The sequence below is a fragment of the Homo sapiens genome, chromosome 11 (genome assembly GCF_000001405.40).
Source record: "Homo sapiens chromosome 11, GRCh38.p14 Primary Assembly".
Classification (NCBI taxonomy): Eukaryota; Metazoa; Chordata; class Mammalia; order Primates; family Hominidae; genus Homo; species Homo sapiens.
The window spans coordinates 12,756,188-12,774,250 of NC_000011.10; the positions used below are offsets into that span (position 1 = coordinate 12,756,188).

Here is an 18,063-nt window from a genome sequence, read left to right on the forward strand (position 1 = left end):
GTGATTTTTGAAAACGAGAAGGAGTAATTATCCACTCCTCCCTGCTGAAATTAGAGGGAACCTGTTGGCATTGGCACCAAGGCTCACTGGCTGCTGCTGTCGTTGTGGCACATGTTGCCTCAGTTCTCAGCATCAGCATTCCCATTCCCTGAGAATTCTGCCCTGTCTCTGACAATGACATACTTTCTGTGCTTCCATCTCTTCTGTGGTTGCCTACAAAATCCAGGCTGCCAATCTTCACTTGTATTTTTCTCAGGCCACTTGTTAGCAAGGTTGGCTAGTGTCTTAAATGGTAGGAAAATAATAACACAACCCACTTTACATATGCAAAAGCAATTAACCATTATTAGTGTCTGACATTCCTCTCAGCTGCCCACAGCGGTGAGTCAGGATCATCACTATTCATTAGGAATTAATTAGACTGTCCTTGATGATATCAGTCATCTACAGAGCTAAGAATTCAGCACTGCCTACATCCTACTGTCTAGTGAGGGTATAGTGTATTTGATATTCCCATAGAATGTGCATTCTGTTTGGAAAATGACTCCTAGATTGAATCTCTGTTAAGTATAGGACTTTGGACAACTTATTTAGGTCTCTGAACCTCACAAGGTGGGGATAATACTAAAGGGGGAAGTGCAGCGATTAAATAAGATCCTCTAGGCAGAAACTGCTGGCATTATGCCTGACACCTAGTTCTGGGAGAAGGCTGAATTTGGTTTTGAGGTACCAGTTCACTTTGGAAGTAAAGCACCTTTTTTCCCCCCAGTCTTTTTGTTGGAGGGGAGCTTTTCTCCTATGAGAGAAATTTGGACTTTGACTAAGATTACAGTGACCTTCAAGCCATCAAATGTTTGGTTGAGTTGTCCACTATAAATACCATTCCAACCATGTGATTCTCTTTCTAGAAACCCTGAAGTGGCCCTCACTTCTACTGACTTCTCTCTCCTCCTGGGCTATTAGAAATCTTTTCTCTTAGTGCTCGTCCCGTTGCCACTGTCTGTATGCTGCCCTTTGCTCACCTGCTCACTCAAGTTTGCTTTACCATTTGTCACCTCTTCGAATTTCTTCCTTGGCCACCTCCTTGGCTTCTGGTCTTTACACCCTGGCTGCTCCGCCTCCCATATCTCTTTCCCTGTAGCTGTCACCTTTTGGTAATTTTCTTCTCCAGTCATCAAAAGGGAAAGGGAAATGGAGAAGGTAAAATATATTGTCTCAAAAGTTACCATTCTCCTCAAAATAAGATTTACTGATGATAAAAGATTACCTCTTAAAGGACTCAAATCTTATTTGTCCCTCTAACACAGAAGGACTATTAGTTGCCAATAATTGTGATTAAGAAATTGGATCAGCCACCCAACTCTTCGTTATTTACACTGTGCCTGGCTTACAGTCTGTCTCCTTGTGTCCTCCTAATTTGGCGATTTTCTCTGGGTCTCTTACTACTCATTGGAACCTTGGCCAGAGTCAGGAATGTGAAAGTAGCTGAAACACTTCCTTTTCTTGTGGAAACTTTGGGTGTTAATCTCAGTCATGTTGTTATCAAAGAATATTTGTGTTTTCTGGTTGTTGGTTCATTCTTTTTTTATTTTTTATTTATTAATTTTTTTGAGACAGAGTCTTGTTCTGTCACTCAGACTGGAGTGCAGTGGCCTGATCTTGGCTCACTGCTATCTCTGCCTCCCAAATTCAAGTGATTCGTCTGTCTCAGCCTCCCAAGTAGCTGGGATTACAGGCGCCTGCCACCACGCCTGACTAATTTTTGTATTTTTAGTAGAGACGGAGTTTCACTGTGTTGATCAGGCTGGTCTTGAACTCCTGACCTCAGGTGATCCTCCCACCTTGGCCTCCCAAAGTGCTAGGCATTATAGGCGTGAACTGCCATGCCTGGAGGTTCATTCTTTCTTTCATTGACTATTTATATGTCAGGTATGGTACTGGCGCTAGGGACAGTGTAAATGTTACATAGTCTCTGCCCTCAGGGAGGGACACTGGGGTGCAAATGGGAGGAGCAATGACAAACCAACTCACTAAGTTTTTGTTTTGTTTTTTTTTTTTTAATTTTTTTTTTGTGATGGAGTCTCACTCTGTTGCCCAGGCTGGAGTGCAGTGGCACAATCTTGGCTCACTGTGACCTCCGCCTCCTGGGTTTGAGTAATCCTCCTGCCTCAGCCTCCTGAGCAGCTGGTTATAGGCACCTGTCATCACGCCCAGCTAGTTTTTTTTTTTTTTTTTTTTTTTGAGGTGGAGTATCACTCTGTCGCCTAGGCTGGAGTGCAGTGGCGCAATCTCAGCTTACTGCAAGCTCCACCTCCCAGGTTCACGCCATTCTCCCACCTCAGCCTCCTGAGTAGCTGGGACTACAGGCGCCTGCCACCACGCCTGGCTAATTTTGTTTTTGTGTTTTTAGTAGAGACGGGGTTTCATCACGTTAGCCAGGATGGTCTTGATCTCCTGACCTCGTGATCTGCCCGCCTCGGCCTCCCAAAGTGCTGGGATTACAGGCGTGGGCCACCCTACCTGGCCATTTTTTTAAATAGAGGCAAGGTTTCACCATGTTGGCCAGGCTGGTCTCAAACTCCTGACCTCAAATGATCCACCTGCCTCAGCCTCCCAAAGTGCTGGGATTAGAGGCCTCACCTCATCAAGTTCTGTTATAGGTAAAGTCTGTGGGATCACATGGTGAAGAATGAATAAGTTGGCTTCCTCCAGGGTTAATGGTGGAAACTGAGGCATACTGGAGCTACAGGTGCTGTGTGGTCCTGTGTTACTCAGGGGGACAGAGCCCTAACTTCATCCCAGCTCTTCTCCTGTGACCTCATAGAATATTGAGACACTGGCAAAAACAAGCCATAATGATTTTTTTTTTTGGTGATCGTTGTGTTCAATGGCATTTCATTAATTATGAGGATTAGTTAAAATCAACCCTTTTACTTAAGAGCCTTTAAATAATCTGAAGATGGGTGAGAAACTGACATTATGAGAGACCCACAGGAATTAAGATGAAGGGAGCAGCAAATTCCTGTGTCCTATCTCATCTCTTGTTGGATAGAGTTGGTGTCAGAGCACCTGCATTGGACTGTCTTATCCCGGTCATCCCCCAGGCTTTTATAATAAAATGTGTATTGGTTGAATACACATGTGATATCTCCACTGTACTCATGTTACTCTTTTTGAAGCCTCAGTAGGTTATAGTGAAGGAATTACACATTTAGGGAATGTGGTTGTTGAGGCAGTTACCAGGATATTTGGATTCATAGAGTTTGTTTTTGGAGTTTATTGGAGTGTGTTTGGGAAAAAGTTCAGGAATAAAGGATCTTTCAGAAAAGTGTTTATGATGGAAACTGAGGCACATGGGGGCTACAAAGTATACATATTTTTAAAAGTATTTCCAGCTGGGCGCGGTGGCTCACGCCTGTAATCCCAGCACTTTGGGAGTCCAAGGTGGGCGGATTATGAGGTCAGGAGTTCGAGACCAGCCTGGCCAACATGGTGAAACCCTGTCTCTACTAAAAAATACAAAAATTAGCTGAGCGTGGTGGTGAATGCCTGTAATCCCAGCTACTTGGAAGGCTGAGGCAGGAGAATTGCTTGAACCTGGGAGGAGGAGGTTGCAGTGAGCTGAGATCGTGCCACTGCACTCCAGCCTGGGCAATAGAGTGAGACTCCATCTCAAAAGCAAAAAAAATTATCTCCAACAAAGAAGACTTTTCTATTCTCTTTCCTTGAAGGCATTCTGTGAAAACGGTTACTACCCTGAACCACACTGCCCATAAGAATCTGAAAGCTGTTGAACCCGTGAATAAATTCAGAATTAGATGAGTGTTAGAAATAAAGGTGTTGTCACCAATTTACATTTTCTATGCAGTCATTTGAAGACCTTGAAGAAGAGGTCCTTTGTAAATCAGTTTCCCAAAGTAAACCATTAGAGGAAGCTCTCTCATTTCTTCACCATCCATCAGAAGGTACATAGCATTGTCTAGAGAGGATGGACTTGGACATAAATGAACATCTGTTCATAGTTTTACAGATGACAGAGCGCCTTCACTCATGATCTTACTAAATCTTTATGGCAACCCAGTAGAATAGAGTCCCTCCATCCCTTAATCATTTTTCTGTATTGGGATGAAATTTAATTTGTTATTTGCATTTAACAAATGAAAACCTGAGCTTCTGAGAGAGTTATTAGGTTGGCACAAAAGTAGTTGCGGTAGTTTGAGTTCCATGGCTTAAGGGCGAGTAGGTTTGAAACCCACATCTGTTGGAGTCTTCATATATTCCCCTCCCTTCCTCTCCTACCTCTTGCCCCAGTACTGTGTTCTTTATTTACTGAATTTAGTGAAAGCTGACTCCTTCACTTAAAGGATATATATGTATGGGGAGGTAAAGATATCAGCTCTGCAGGTACAGACATTGTGTGCATAATTCACTCATTTAGATTTTAATATTGATTATAATCAAGTGCTTGTTGCTATAGATTCAGAATCGAGGTAATTTGCGTGACAGTTGGCCAATTCCACACATTTTTAGGGTTCTCCTACAGCGTGGTTGATACTCTCAGAGCCTGTAGATACAAGGCCAGTTTCCAGGATGAGGTGGAGTTTGAGCTGGACTGGAAGGAACCTGGGGGATGGAGTGCCAGGATGGTTATTTTGGTATCCAGTATGGGGAGCATTTCTCAGCCAGCCCCAGTCTTGTGTTAGGAAATTCTCTGCCCATATGTAAAGTCTTCATCTTATGATGGGGTTGTAAAACCAGAGGCCTGTATAACTCTGTGGATTATGTATCTGGTAGTTTCTGGGGCTGTGTCCTGGCCCATTGCTAGATAGGTAATTCCATCCTGCTGAAGTCTAGTTGACGAAAAATGGCAAGAGTCTGGATACACAGGGTCTTTTCCTTTGCAGTAAACGAATAAAAACGTGAGCATTTAAAACTGGCTGTACTTACTAAGTGGATAGATCAATTAATGCTAGTTAATACTACATTCCCCCAAACAACCAGGAAGTTGTGATTCATACCTATAGAAATAATAAGAAGAGGTTGTCTGCAAGACTCTGCTGCCTGTCTGCTAGAACAGCCTGCCCCTTGTGGAGCAGTTCAAGTAGCAGAAATTTTTTTCTTATATTGAGTTGGAATATTCTTTGGAACTTCCCAAAGTGGATCTACATCCTTCCCATGTGACAGACAGCTCTTCAGAGGTTGTTTAGTGTCTTAGACACTAAGTGTGCAGTTATGATTCAGAAGAATCTTCCCATCTTTGGGCTGTGGGCTGAGGCTAAAAATGATAGAATTCAATAGGAATAAATACAAACGCCTGCTTTTAGCTCTGACACCAGTTGCACAAAAGACAGTATTCAGGGACAACCTCTGAGGGGCAGGAGCTTAGAAGTTTAATGGAAAGTAAGTCCACCTCTGAGTGCCATTTATTGGGGGCCACTAAATGCATTCATGAGGGTGGGCAGAGGGATGATGGTTTCTAGTCTGGAAGACAATTAGGATCCTGGAGGCTGCTTCTGTCATACCTAAATGGGTATCTTAGGAGAGATTTGCTCCCCTGAAGGATGGGGTATACTCTCAAGGAATGGATGTGTAGATGTTAACCAGGAGATGGGTTTTCGCCTGATAAATGGAAGCATTTCAACATGTCAGTATGAAGCGGGGTAGTACTGAGAAGGTAATGAGTTCCCTGCTGTTAGTGGTGTTCAAGGGTAGACTGTGACCAGTTGAGTAGATTTTGAGGGGACTTTAAGCACTGAATGGGGGTGGTTGGTGTGTTTTGGTCTGGAGACTCTGGGGCTTACAGTTATATGAGAACATTCTTTTAAGGCAGTCGAAGGTCCCTCAGTCCCTTCAGCCATCCCCCACTGTCCTAGATCCCATTCCCTGCTATCCTGACTGAGCACTGGGCATAACTACTATTTATCTTAAAGTGTGGCTCCTCGGAGTAAATTCATACTGCTGTGAACTGCCCAGAGCTCAAGGACTGGCCTGTGGTTTTGTGCATGTGTGTTGTTTTGGTTTGTTTTTGTCTTTTTTTGTTGTTGTTTGGTGGGTATGGTGGAGAGGAAGAAGGTGGGCTAGCCACTGCTCAAAGAATTCATTCTTATTCTCATAATTTATCTAATAAACTACTTTGGAGCGAGAACAGACTCTAGAGTATAGTTCAGTTTGAATTTCATAAGACTCTTAGATCGTAACGAAAAAGATAATAGTTTGAATTCAAAAGGCCCACACCGCAGGCATAGTCAAGTTCATCTGGAGGTCAGTCACAAAATGCTTTCTTGTGGCGTAATTTATACCTTCACATTTGGCAATTTTGAAAGTCCTGTGTAAATGTACATATGTTGGTAAGAGGTAGTAAATATTTTGCTGACAAGTTCTTTGAATGATGGCTCAGTAGCAGCATTTAAAGGCAGACAATCAGAGGGTTTTTTGTGTATTTTTTTTTTAAATCCAGGTGCTGCCAAGTCTACAAAGCTGGAAGGGAAGAAGCCAAAAGTGCCCACTAGTTATAGTTATACCATTAATTATATAATATTCATGTGCCTCAGAGTTTCTGCACCTGGCATCTGTTGATATACACAGGTGGGGGAGGACAGGGGCACAGGATACAGTTGGGAGAGAGCAGGGAGGAAGACAGGGTGCTTGCTGTCAGGTAACGGCCCTGGAATATGGAGCAGTCCCTGGTGCCAGGTGTGGCCACCAGCACCTGCTTCCCTCCTGGGTGTCCGTGTTGTAATACTGCCTGGATTTGATGGGGTGAGAAGGGGAGGAACTGTGGCCACATGAAACCCTCCCTACTCAGGCCCTTGGCCTCCTCTTTTCGATCAATCCTTTCTCTCTCATTTTTGGGAGGCCTTTGAATTAATGATCCTATACCTTTTCAACAAAGGAATATTGATATGTTAGTGTGCCAGACAGCAGGGAGTACTGGATTAGATCATTTTCACATTGACGTTATGCCAGTTTGACATTTGTTTGGAAAGCTTATCCTTTTATGACCATAGGTTATATACATAATTTAAGGGGAATAAATCTTTCAGAGATTTTTTTTGGTTCTGTGATCTTCAGTGCTACAGAAAAAGAAATGAAATACTCCCCCACAGTTTTCATGTGATCAGGAATTCAGCATAGGCTATAAGACGGAGTGCTCCATGTCAATAGAGAATATTTCCACAGGTGTGCTAGGCACTTGTGGTAGATGTTGCAGGGAAGTCAGGACTGGGGACAGCTTGGTCCCTACTTCAAGGTTACAGTCTAGGAGCTGAGAGTGGCAAAGTGACCTGATTCTACAGGGTAAAAGCCCCAGAGATAAATGACATAGGTCCAGGTCAGCCAGCATTGCTGTCTCAGTAGAATGAGTATGTGTGATACCAAAATAATCTTCCTCCTTCCCTCCTTGATCCTGCCACCATCTTGCATCTTGATGATCTCATATTGGGATAGTGACACTAACAGAGTTTCCGAGTTATGATGCCACTTGCCATGGTGAAGTGGACATTTTAAAAAACTTTATTTTCTTATAAATTACTTGTTCTGCTTTGGAGATTTGATGATCATTTAGCAAAGTGCCCCTGGTAGATAGTAGGCACTCAGTAAATGGTTTTCGTATGAATCACTGCAAACTTGCAACTCCGAGTGAGTACCATTCTTCCATATAAATTTCCTCTCGTCTGTGAAGATTATCCAGCTTCTGCCCACCATTGCATTTCTGTGTGGGTGCTTAATATGATACTTAGATAATAAAGCCACTTGGATCTCAAAATTCCATATTCTCCAGTAGGAGTTATCCAAGCAAAGCTGGTGACTGAACCAAAATCACCACTAAAGAACTTAACCGTGTAACCCAAAACCATGTGTATCCCCAAAAAGACTGAAATAATAAAATGAAATGAAAAAAGCTGGTGACTGAAGAACTTGCACTAGAGCTAGCAAGAGCATTATGTTTGTGGTTACCACATCCTTATACTGTTTTTGGTTTTCTCTTCTAGGTTTATTTTCTTGAAAAGGCTCCAGGCTTCGGCTTGGAAAATCCCACCGCCAAAATTGAGCCCAGCAGCTGGAGCGGCAGTGAGAGCCCTGCCGAAAACATGGAAAGGATGAGTGACTCTGCAGATAAGCCAATTGACAATGATGCAGAAGGGGTCTGGAGCCCCGACATCGAGCAAAGCTTTCAGGAGGCCCTGGCTATCTATCCACCATGTGGGAGGAGGAAAATCATCTTATCAGACGAAGGCAAAATGTATGGTAAGTGGCCTGGAACACTCCTTTGAAATACTACAACCTGCAGTTGTGGTAGGGGATAGATTGTAGCTGGTCTTCCAGCAAGAGCTGTTCATTGTATGGGGTTGAGTGATATTTGTAGAATTTTAGTGGGTCATCCAAAGGACTCACCCTAAACTAAAAAGGAGAGTCAATAAAGGACCTTTGGGAAAAAGAAAAGGACCCCTGGGCTTTTCTTCTTCTACATGTGTAGTGGCATTACATCAGAAGCTCCAGGGGTCCAGGCAGGAACATAAATAGTTGCAGTGGCATGTACAGACACCAGATGGTGGGGAGGAGGTCTTCTGAACACAGACCAGATCACAAGGAAATACTGCCACTTACCTCTAGGTAACTGATGTCACTAGGAATGGGGGCCTGGTGCTCCCGAATCCCTTGATTGCCCCCAGCCCCCTTGAGGAAGAGCCAGCATTCTAGATGCTTATATGAAATCTACTCTTTTTAAAAAGCCAGCACTTTTTTTTTTTTAAAACAACTCTGTACAGGCCAGAGAAAACATGTATGTGCATGGGCTTGATCAGCCTCTGAACCACCAATTTGCTACTTTGCTGCCAGTTTGCAGTTGAATGGTCAGACAAGGCATTAGCACCCTGGGTCACTGTCACCATCTCCCCTTCTTTGGGGGTTGCCTTGAAAGGCATTCTGAAGGAAACACCAAGAGTGCCAAGGAGAGAGAGACCTGTTAACTATTTGGCTCTGGATGCCTAGGGCAGCAGCAAGGATCCACCTGCCGGTCTGGGGCTTGCTTGCTGGGTTTGGGCACCCCCTAACTTCCTTCCATAAATGCTTCCAGCTGCAGACCTGTACTTTTTGGCTGCTTACCTTTTGGGAAGCAGATGGCAGGTGTAGTTGCTTGAACATTCTGCTTGTCTAATTGAGCACGTTGAGTTGACAGAGTTCGCACTGTAGCTGAGTCTAAAAAGATGCAAACACAAATAACCTAACCTCAAAGAGAACTGGCTCAGTATTTTACCTGAGGTTGTTAACTTCTCATGGGAGTGATTATTTCTGAACAATTGGAAGTCTTTTTTGTAATAAGGTGTTGTACCTTTAATACTGCACTTCCTCTGTCAGGAGCCGTAGGAGACTGTGGCTTCAACTAGCACACACTGCTAAGGAGAAAGCAGATGGTGGTGCAGCTGCCACCAGCTGTGCCCCCACCCCGCCCTCCTCCTCTCCAACTTGGATGATGTAATGGAAACAAGGAAAATTTTGCTTTCTGCAGCATTGGAGTCTCTCAGCCTGTCACACACAGGGGAGAAGGAGACCCAGGCCTTCAGCATTTGTTTTATGCTCCCATAATATCCTTTGTAGCCAGGGAAGCCTCTTCGTATCTGGTGAAATGGACTGGGGATGAAATATCTCAGCTACTATGGGAAGAGTGTTTCAGGGCCCTAGATTTTCTCTATGTCTGGATCTTTCCTGGTCTCTTCATCTCAGCCTGGCTATTTGCTTTGTGGGTCTTATTTTCATACCTGAAAATGCAGCTCCCTTTCTTAAAGGCAGAGAAAAGCATTTTAATCTTTGAAGCTTCTTTGAAGATGATTTTATTATGGGTAGTGAAGGGTAGCCTTGGGACACTACCTTGTACAACTCTCATTTGCTTACCCAAAAATGGTTTCAATTTAAAACAAAGGCATAGTATTAGAAATCCCAATGGGGCATAACCACTGCACTTCATTTCCCACAGGAAATACTGGGAAAGGTCCTGTCCTTTCAGGAATAAGGTTTTGGGGCTGAGAACATAATTCAAAGCACAAGTTAACTTTTGTCAACTCCAATTTTGTATTGTTCTCCATTGAGATTTTAGTTTATAGACAGCAGCCCTGGTGGATTTAACCAATTTGCCTATAATTCAATTATATAAATATTTTTATGTGAAAATAATTGTATAAGAGCTCTTGTTGGTAATTGGGTCTCAGAGGCAGCAGGCTAAGAAGAACAAAGAGAAGCTTTGGATGTGAGTAGCTGTATCAACAATGAACTTGAAGATTTTACCCTTGGTCTTGGTCTCAGTTTTCTTCTGTGTAAAATAAGATAGTAAAGTAGTTGATGATGTCCATGGGTCCTTTGGACTCTTCCATTTTGTGATGCTATGGTTTTGTTTCTTGTCACTGAGCAAGAGGGTCAGTTTTGACAAATGTGGTGCTGCTTGGGAGCCTAGCCTGTCTTGGGTACCCAGTGTAACTTAAATTCTGAGTGCTTCCTGAGTGTGCATGGTTTTGATGTATGGATTCTTTTCTCCTTAACTCAGCAGCACATTTAGTGACCGTGTTGGTGGCTAACCTGATTTAAAATGGGACAGTCCTTTTGAGCAAGCAGCATTAGGAATTTTAACTCATTTGGAAGAACAATCTTACTGGTTGTGGGTTTTTCAGCAAGTGGAGTATACAGCCTGGGAGAGTGTGTATCCTAATTGGGGCTCAGAAGATGCGTTGGATGCACTGTCCTGCAGCCACCCCCACCTCCAGGCAGCTGCCTTGGGGAGGAAACATCCCCCCTGAACTCCCTGTCTCTGGTCGACATGAGGAGCTTTGCTTCTACTGCTACCTTGGAAGGGAACCATGGTGGTTAATGGGACTATTGGTGGTGGAGACTGGACCCCTTAAGAGGAACTGCCCTGGTTGACTGGGAGCTGCCTCTGACCTGCCTGTGACTTGGAGGATGAGAGACAGTTGACTTGGGAGTCTCCCTGTTGAGGCCCCAGCCACTCGAGAACTGAATCATATGAGCAGTGTGGGGCCAGAGCTACTGTCCTGGGCTTTTGGCCTGTTCCCCATCTTACCATACATGAATTGGGACACAAACCAGACCAGGAGTCAGGGTTTCTTAAGGCCTTAAAGAGCATACTTTTTTTCTAAGGGTTCTGAAAATGAAAACATTTAAAGCATTTTTGAATTCCATGCAGTAAAATAAAAACGGTTTAGTCTTTTAGTGAAATACCGAGTGTTTTTTACTTGAAAGGGTTATGGTTATTCCAATATTTCAGAGCATTTGTAGAGTGCTTTGTGATGTCACTAATCCTGAGCCATTGGAGAAACAAGGTCAAGTGATTTATTTTGGTAATGAAATTTTGTTCGTGGTTGGCAGTAGGGCAAATGCAGTCTTATAAAGGAGAAAAAAGGACAACTCTATGATGAGGTTTTTGGCCACCGGAGGAGGTGGCTTCATTCGCTTTCTGCTAACTTGGTCTTTGGGGAGCTGAGACTTTATGTGTTTGGGCTGTGTGTGGATAGGTGGCTTCTGCTGTGGGCACCCTTATGTGTAGGCAGTCGTTTTTATGGATTACTAGAAGGGGTACGAGATGTCCTTTGACCTGGTTCCTAAGGGCATGTGTGCTCAGTCCCTGGGGCTCTCTCTTTCTCTGTGCTTGTCTTTTTCATTTTTTGTTTTTACACAGCTACGTGTGACTCTTTTCCTGGTAGATCATGGGAGAGGAGATAGATAGCAGGAGGACAAGATGAGAGGGAAGTTCTTGATCAACAAACTTATCCAGAATTGGATTTCAGAGGAGCAGGCTGTAGTTTAAAACAAAACAAAATAGATAGCAAACCACGGGAACACCTGAATTTGTTACTTTTGCAACTGAAAATCCCAGTCAGATAGACCCCATAATCAAATAGGGCAGGGACAGGAACTAACCTTCACTGGTTGCTTGCTGTAGAGGCAGAGAAGTATATAACACTTAACAGTCTGGACTCTATAAATAATATGAATCCTGGCCCTGCACTTCTAGATATCAGATTTTTATCGAGTTACCTTACTTCTCTGTCTCAATTTCCTCAACTGAAAAGGAGGATTAGATAGATCTTACTGTGTAGGATTATTAGAAGAATTAAATGAACTAATTGTTATCTGGAACACCACCACCCCCTGCAATGTTTGAACTGTATCTAGCATATAGTGAGAGGTATGTAAGTGCTTATGAACTGAAAACAAAGAAGTGCTCTCTGCCAAGCACTATGCTAAAGGCTCCACATACAATTCTGTCTAATGCTCTTAACAATGCTTTGAAGCTGGTATTATCATCCTCACTGTATAGACAGGAAGCTGAGTCTGAGAGGGGTAAAATGGCTTGCACATGGCCAATATAAATGGTATAGCTAGCAGGTTTCAAATTCAGGGCTGTCTGACTCTACATCTTGGACTTTTCTACTGAGCTTTTGTTCCTTCCTTGGTAGAGACCGTTATACATAAATCCAGTGAATCAGTATTGAGCCCCAGCGCAGCTGTATTCCAGCCCTGTGCTAGGGGTTGTCAGGGATACTGTAGTGAACCAGACAGACATGGTCCCTGCCCTCATGGAGCTATCTCAAGTTCATTTGCAGGAAACTGACCTGAGGTCAGGACTGTGTGCCAAAGCTTTCTGAGAAGTTTGAGAGCCCTTTGAAGATGGTCACCTTCCACTTAGCCTTTTGAAGCCTATTCTTGGCTACCAAGGTCGAGGGCACCTGGCCTGTTGCTGGCAGGAAGAAATCATCTCAAATAACATAGCGGAGAGGATCCCAGATCACAAGCCTGGCCTCGGTAGTGGCCAGGAGGATGTCTGGAAGATTCTAGTGCCCTAGGATCCTATAAGCAGTCTGGGCAGAGCTGTTGCTTCCAGACATCTTCCTGGCCACTATTGACTTTCTCCTTTTGCAAGCAGATGTCTTCAGGATCCTTGCTTAGGTCAGCTCCAAGGAAGGACCCTTTCTTACTGGGATACCAGGACTACTGGTCAGCCCCAGAGACCTGAATTGTGAGGACCAGCGAAGATGAGGGGGAGGGTGTCTCTAGTCAGTCCTCCCCCGCTGCTGACCTGTGCCCTGCCCACCAGGACAGCATAGGACTTAGGATTGCATCTTTCTTTACTTCATAGGAGCAGAAGTCAGAAGAGGAAAGAGGGCTTTTTAAATGAGGTAGTGGCAGAACTGACAAGGGGGTATCAGAATGAGAGTGCACACAAGTAAGTGGGAGTATGTATTGATTAGTCAGTACAGCAAAGAGACTGAAACCTGTGGTCGCTACACTCCTCTGGATGCAGAGGACTGGTCAAAAAATTGCAGAATCATCCTTTTATAAGATAGTATGTTCTCATAACAGCTCTTTGAGGATCAGGGAGGTAGGCTTTGTCAGTGGAGGCCCCAGAGCCCTGGTGTGGAAATGGCCATAGACTCCCAGCCCTGGAGGGTCTCCAGGCCTTGGCAAAGTGTTCTTCTCGGAGCTCCATATGAACATCATGTGGCATCTTTGATTTCCTCTTTCGGACCTCTGATTCAGGGTGTTATTTCAAGTTAATTGGTTAGAAGCGTGAAACAAACAGCTATGTGGTAGAACAGGCTAGAAGCTCCCAAAGCCGGGACCCCACCGATCACAGGATGTATTTCAAGGCCTGGAATATAGAAGGTGTCAGTAATGTTTGCTGAATAAATGCTTATGGGAGATGAATTATGGTTCAAACAGAGAACGTAGGTGATTAAGCCTGTAAGCCCTGAGGGCCTCTCCTGTGGGAGGAAGTGGCTAGAAAAAAAGAAGGAAAAAAAGAGGAAGATGTTTATTTAATGATCTTAGATTGAGAAAGAAGAAGCCCTATTTTTTATGTTGGCAAATGTTAGTTGAAGAGATAGAAAAGATTTCTGCACAAAATATGGACAATAGCAGAGCAAGGGTTAATTCTGGAATGCTCAGAACAGATGAGTAATGGGGAATTTTTGAAATAGTTTGGTTCCTGTGAGAATAGCAGGGCCAGCGTCATCAGCATTTTGATTGGGAAGCTTAATGTGTGGGGGGTATGCAAAAGTGTATGCACAAGGTGTGAGCTCATGTGCAATCCGGGTACAAAGTAGCTAATTAAAGATGGCTCAAGAATTGGTCATAAGGGAGGTAGAAGGAAAAGAACATGAAAGTATTACCAAGTTATGCTTTCCAACAGCTTTTCTGTGGCAGTGGATGAGCCCTGGGATTCAGGAAGATGTGGATTCATAAATCATTTATTGAGGGCCTGCACTGTGCTTTGAATGTGATGGGGACAACAGACATAAAATAACTTAAAAAGCTGACCTGTGTGAGCAGTTAACATACCAGGCACTTTCCCATTGCTATAGGATGTGCGATCTTGATTATTCCTCAAAAACAACCCAATAATATAGGTACTGTAATTATGCCCATTTTGCTGCTGAGGAAAGTGAGGTCCAGCAAGGTCAAGTTATTTGCTTGAGGTCACATAGTAAATAAGCTGTGGAGCTGACATTTACAACCAAGCCAGTCAATACAAATGACTCCAATATTGATATGGAAGGAAGTATATTCTGTACTAGAGATATACCTGGTTTAGTAGTGGAGCAGCACAAAGTGTGATCATTTATGATTGGGGAATTGACTTGTATATGTTTGAGAATGAAAGAGAGCATGAGACAGACAGACTTAGCTAACTTTGAACTTTGGGAAAAAGATCATGTAGCGGTTTTTAAACTTATTTTGGATTATAGATTATTTTGGATTTCCACCCCTTGGAGAATCTGTGGAAAGCTATGGACCCTTTCCCCCAGAAAAATCACATATTTGTATGTAGTTTTAGGACTGTTGCATGTAACTTCAGGCAAGTTCTGGAGCACAGGTTCAGACTTGCCCCATTGGGGAAAAGGAGAAGGGAAGGGCATTCTGGCTGAAGGAACATGTGATAAAGGCATGGAGGCCTGGAAGGGCACAGCCCTGATGTGCTTAGAAATGAAAATATCTCCTGGGGGAGGGGTACAGGAGCCAGCATTGTGTCGTTGCGGGTCCGAGTGCCATGCCAAGGTGCCTGGCACTCATCCTGGGGGCAGACGGAAGCCATTACATTTTTTTCAGGAGAGATGACATGTCTCAGCCTGTGTTTGACAAAACTAGATCTGAAGGCGTGAAGACAAGTTAGATGGCTGTTACAGTAGTCCGGTAGGAGAGCCTGAGGCCTGCACTAGGATGCAGGCGGTGCTGGTAGGAGGAGGGAGTTTCAGAGATAAAACCAACAGAATTGGCTGATGGGATGAGATTTGTGAAAAAGAAGGAGTTTGATTTCAGGTTCCACTTCTGGCTCATTGGGAGGATGGTGGTACTGTTAAGCGAGATGGGGAGTGGAGGCAGGAGAAGCAGGTTTGTAGAGAAGAGAGGAATGAGGAGTTAAGTTTTGTCATATGCTTGATGTACTGGATGACCATCCAGATGGAGATGACCTGTAAGGAGTTGGAAATTCCTGCCTAGAGCTCAGTCAGATTGAAGTTGCAGGGGTAGTTTGGAGCCTCATCATCAGAGAAGTGATCTGATAATGGCCTGTGATGCCCAGGCTCACAATTTATCAAGGGCAAAACTGGCATGGATATTAAATGGAATGTCTGTAGCACTGGGAGAGTAAAGTGATTGCCTTTTTCAGAAAAGGGAAGACAGATTAGTGGTTCCCAAGGCTCACTATCAACAGAAACACTCAAAGAGCTTAAAAGACAAAACAACTACTGACTAAGAATATCTGGGAGTATGGCCTGGGAAACTGTATTTCTAAATGCTCCCTGAGTCATTTGGGTGATCAGCCAGGTTTGAGAGCTGCTGGGCTAGCTGCAGTCTGGGTCCAAGAAGACAGGACCACATTTTTAGAGTGATAAACAAGTGAGCAGAGAATGAGGCTAACATTTGAAGCAGTCTTTATGAGGTTTTGGTGCAGGAAATGAATGACGCTAGTTTCATTCTTCAGTTTATGTTCACTTTCTACCTAGAGGGAACATTACCATGACCAGGTCTTCAGAGAGTTTGACCATGCATGGAAGGAGACACGGTATCCTGAAGGGCAGAACAAATTAAGAGAAGACTTTTTCTAGGACAGGGGAGACACTTGGCCATTTGGTTAGTTGGGGAAAAGAATTTATGAGTTGAGGATGTATTTGATGGAGCAAAACCCAGAAGAGACTTTAAAGGGAAAGGAGCCTCTTTTCCTCTGATGCAGAATGGAGGAGGATGGGGGGAGGGCCGAGAGGGGGCCTCATTGCTTCTCTCAAATGAAGGTTATTGTGGGCTTTTGAAAAGTAGAGCAAGCTTAGTACAGATGTACAGTATAGATGTTATCATTGACAGACAGGGATGATTAAAAGAACTACTCAGCAGTGAGTATTAGCAGAGAGTATTACTTTCTTTTTTATTTGAAATTTTTGTTGAGATACTGTAGATTCACATGCAATGGTAAGAAATAATACCCAAAGGGATCCTTTATGCATGTTGCCCATTTCCCCCCAATATGGTTACATTTTGCAAAACTGGAGTGTAATATTGCAACAAGCGGGATATTGGCATCCACACAACCCAGTGATACGACTCAGATTTTCCCAGTTTTACTTGAACTCGTTTGTGTGTGCGTACTAAGTTGTGTACACTACTTGTTGTGTGTTAGTCTTGTGCAGGTTCATGTCTCCACCGCCACAATCAGAATACAGAACAGCTCCAACACCACAGGACCCGGGTTGCCCTTCTCCCTAACTGCTGGCAACCACCGATCTGTCCTCTGTTTATAAAATTTTGTCATTTCAAACATGTTATATAAATGGAATCAGACTACATGAACCTTTTGGGATTGGCTTTTTTTCAACTCAGCTTAATTCCCGGGAGATTCATCCAGGTTGTGTGTATCAAGTTTGTTCCTTTTTATCATTGAGTAGTATTCTGTGGTGTGTATGTACCACAGTTTGTTTAACCATTCTGCTGTTCAAGGGCATCTGGGCTGATTCCAGTGTTCAGGCATTTCAAATCCACTGTGAACATACACGTATAGGTCTTTGTATGAAACTAAGTATTCACTTACATGGGATAAATGCCCACGAGTGTCATTTGCTGGCTCATATGGTATTTGTACATTCAGTATTTTTTTCTTTTAAACTGCCCAAGTGTTTTCCAGAGTAGTTGTACCACTTTACATTCTCACCTGCAATCTAGTTTCTCTGCATCCTCACCAGCATTTGGTGTCATCACCATTGTTTATTTTCATTGTGATAGGTGTGTAATTGATACCTCATGTGGTTTTAATTTGCATTTCCTTAAAGACTAACGATGTTGAACATCTTTTCATGTGCTTATTTGCCATCTGTATATCCTCTTCAGTGAAATGTCTGTTCATGTCTTTTGTTCGTTTTCTAATTGGAGGGTTTATGTTGTTACTGTTGTGTTTTTGGAATTCTTTTTTCTAGATACAACTCCCTTTTTTGGATATGTGGTTTGCAAAGATTTTCTCCTTATCTGTAGCTTATCTTTTCATCTTTTCTCATGGGCAAAGCAAAAGAACTTTTAGCAGAGCAAAACTTTTAACAGCGAAAGTTTTAATTTTGATGAGGTCTTATTTATTAGTTTTTCCTTTTGTGAGTCATGCTTTTGGTGTTGAGTCTGAGAACTCATTGCCTAGCCCTAGGTCCTGAAAATTTTCTCCTGTGTCTTGTTCTAAGAGTTTATAGTTGTATGTTTTAAATGTAGGTCTGTGATGCATATTACTTGTGAGGGAACCCATTGTCATGATTCTGTGATTTTCTTTACAAGAAGGTTATTGGGTTTATTCATATTTTGACAGTTGTTATGGCTTGGTCGTAGGAGTCTAAGTTGGGAAAGTGACAGGGTGAAGCTGGAGGGGCTGGTAGGCCATGAGGCATGCTGTTCAGAGGCTCTGGTGCATGTAGGAGAGGAGGCAGGACAGGAGGCTCTGGTCATGCATGGGAGAGGCAGCACTGAGATTAGAGATGGAAAGATTTCAGGGGATGAGTTTCGAGGTGTGGCCACAAATACGGTCAACTG

At 43.4% G+C, this 18,063-nt stretch overlaps 1 protein-coding gene across 1 annotated transcript in view, besides 2 other annotated features; it reads left to right on the forward strand.

Annotated features, from left to right (window-relative positions):
• TEAD1 (TEA domain transcription factor 1) overlaps nt 1-18,063 on the forward strand; it is a 270,317-nt gene that overhangs the window by 81,767 nt on the left and 170,487 nt on the right. Inside the window, 1 exon segment of the mRNA NM_021961.6 lies at nt 7,992-8,247. Within this exon segment, the coding sequence (NP_068780.2) occupies nt 8,046-8,247 (202 nt within the window). The 5' untranslated portion in view covers nt 7,992-8,045.
• Nucleotides 10,853-11,352: an enhancer, noted in NCBI's record as "H3K27ac hESC enhancer chr11:12788587-12789086 (GRCh37/hg19 assembly coordinates)". NCBI's record gives its function as "activates a minimal SCP1, AML or CMV promoter by ChIP-STARR-seq in naive H9 embryonic stem cells {active_cell/tissue: H9 hESC(naive)}" and the evidence as "EXISTENCE:reporter gene assay evidence [ECO:0000049][PMID:30033119]".
• Nucleotides 15,615-15,909: a silencer, noted in NCBI's record as "tiled region #13244; K562 Repressive DNase matched - State 10:DNaseD". NCBI's record gives its function as "represses a minimal TATA promoter and a strong SV40 promoter by Sharpr-MPRA in K562 cells {active_cell/tissue: K562}" and the evidence as "EXISTENCE:reporter gene assay evidence [ECO:0000049][PMID:27701403]".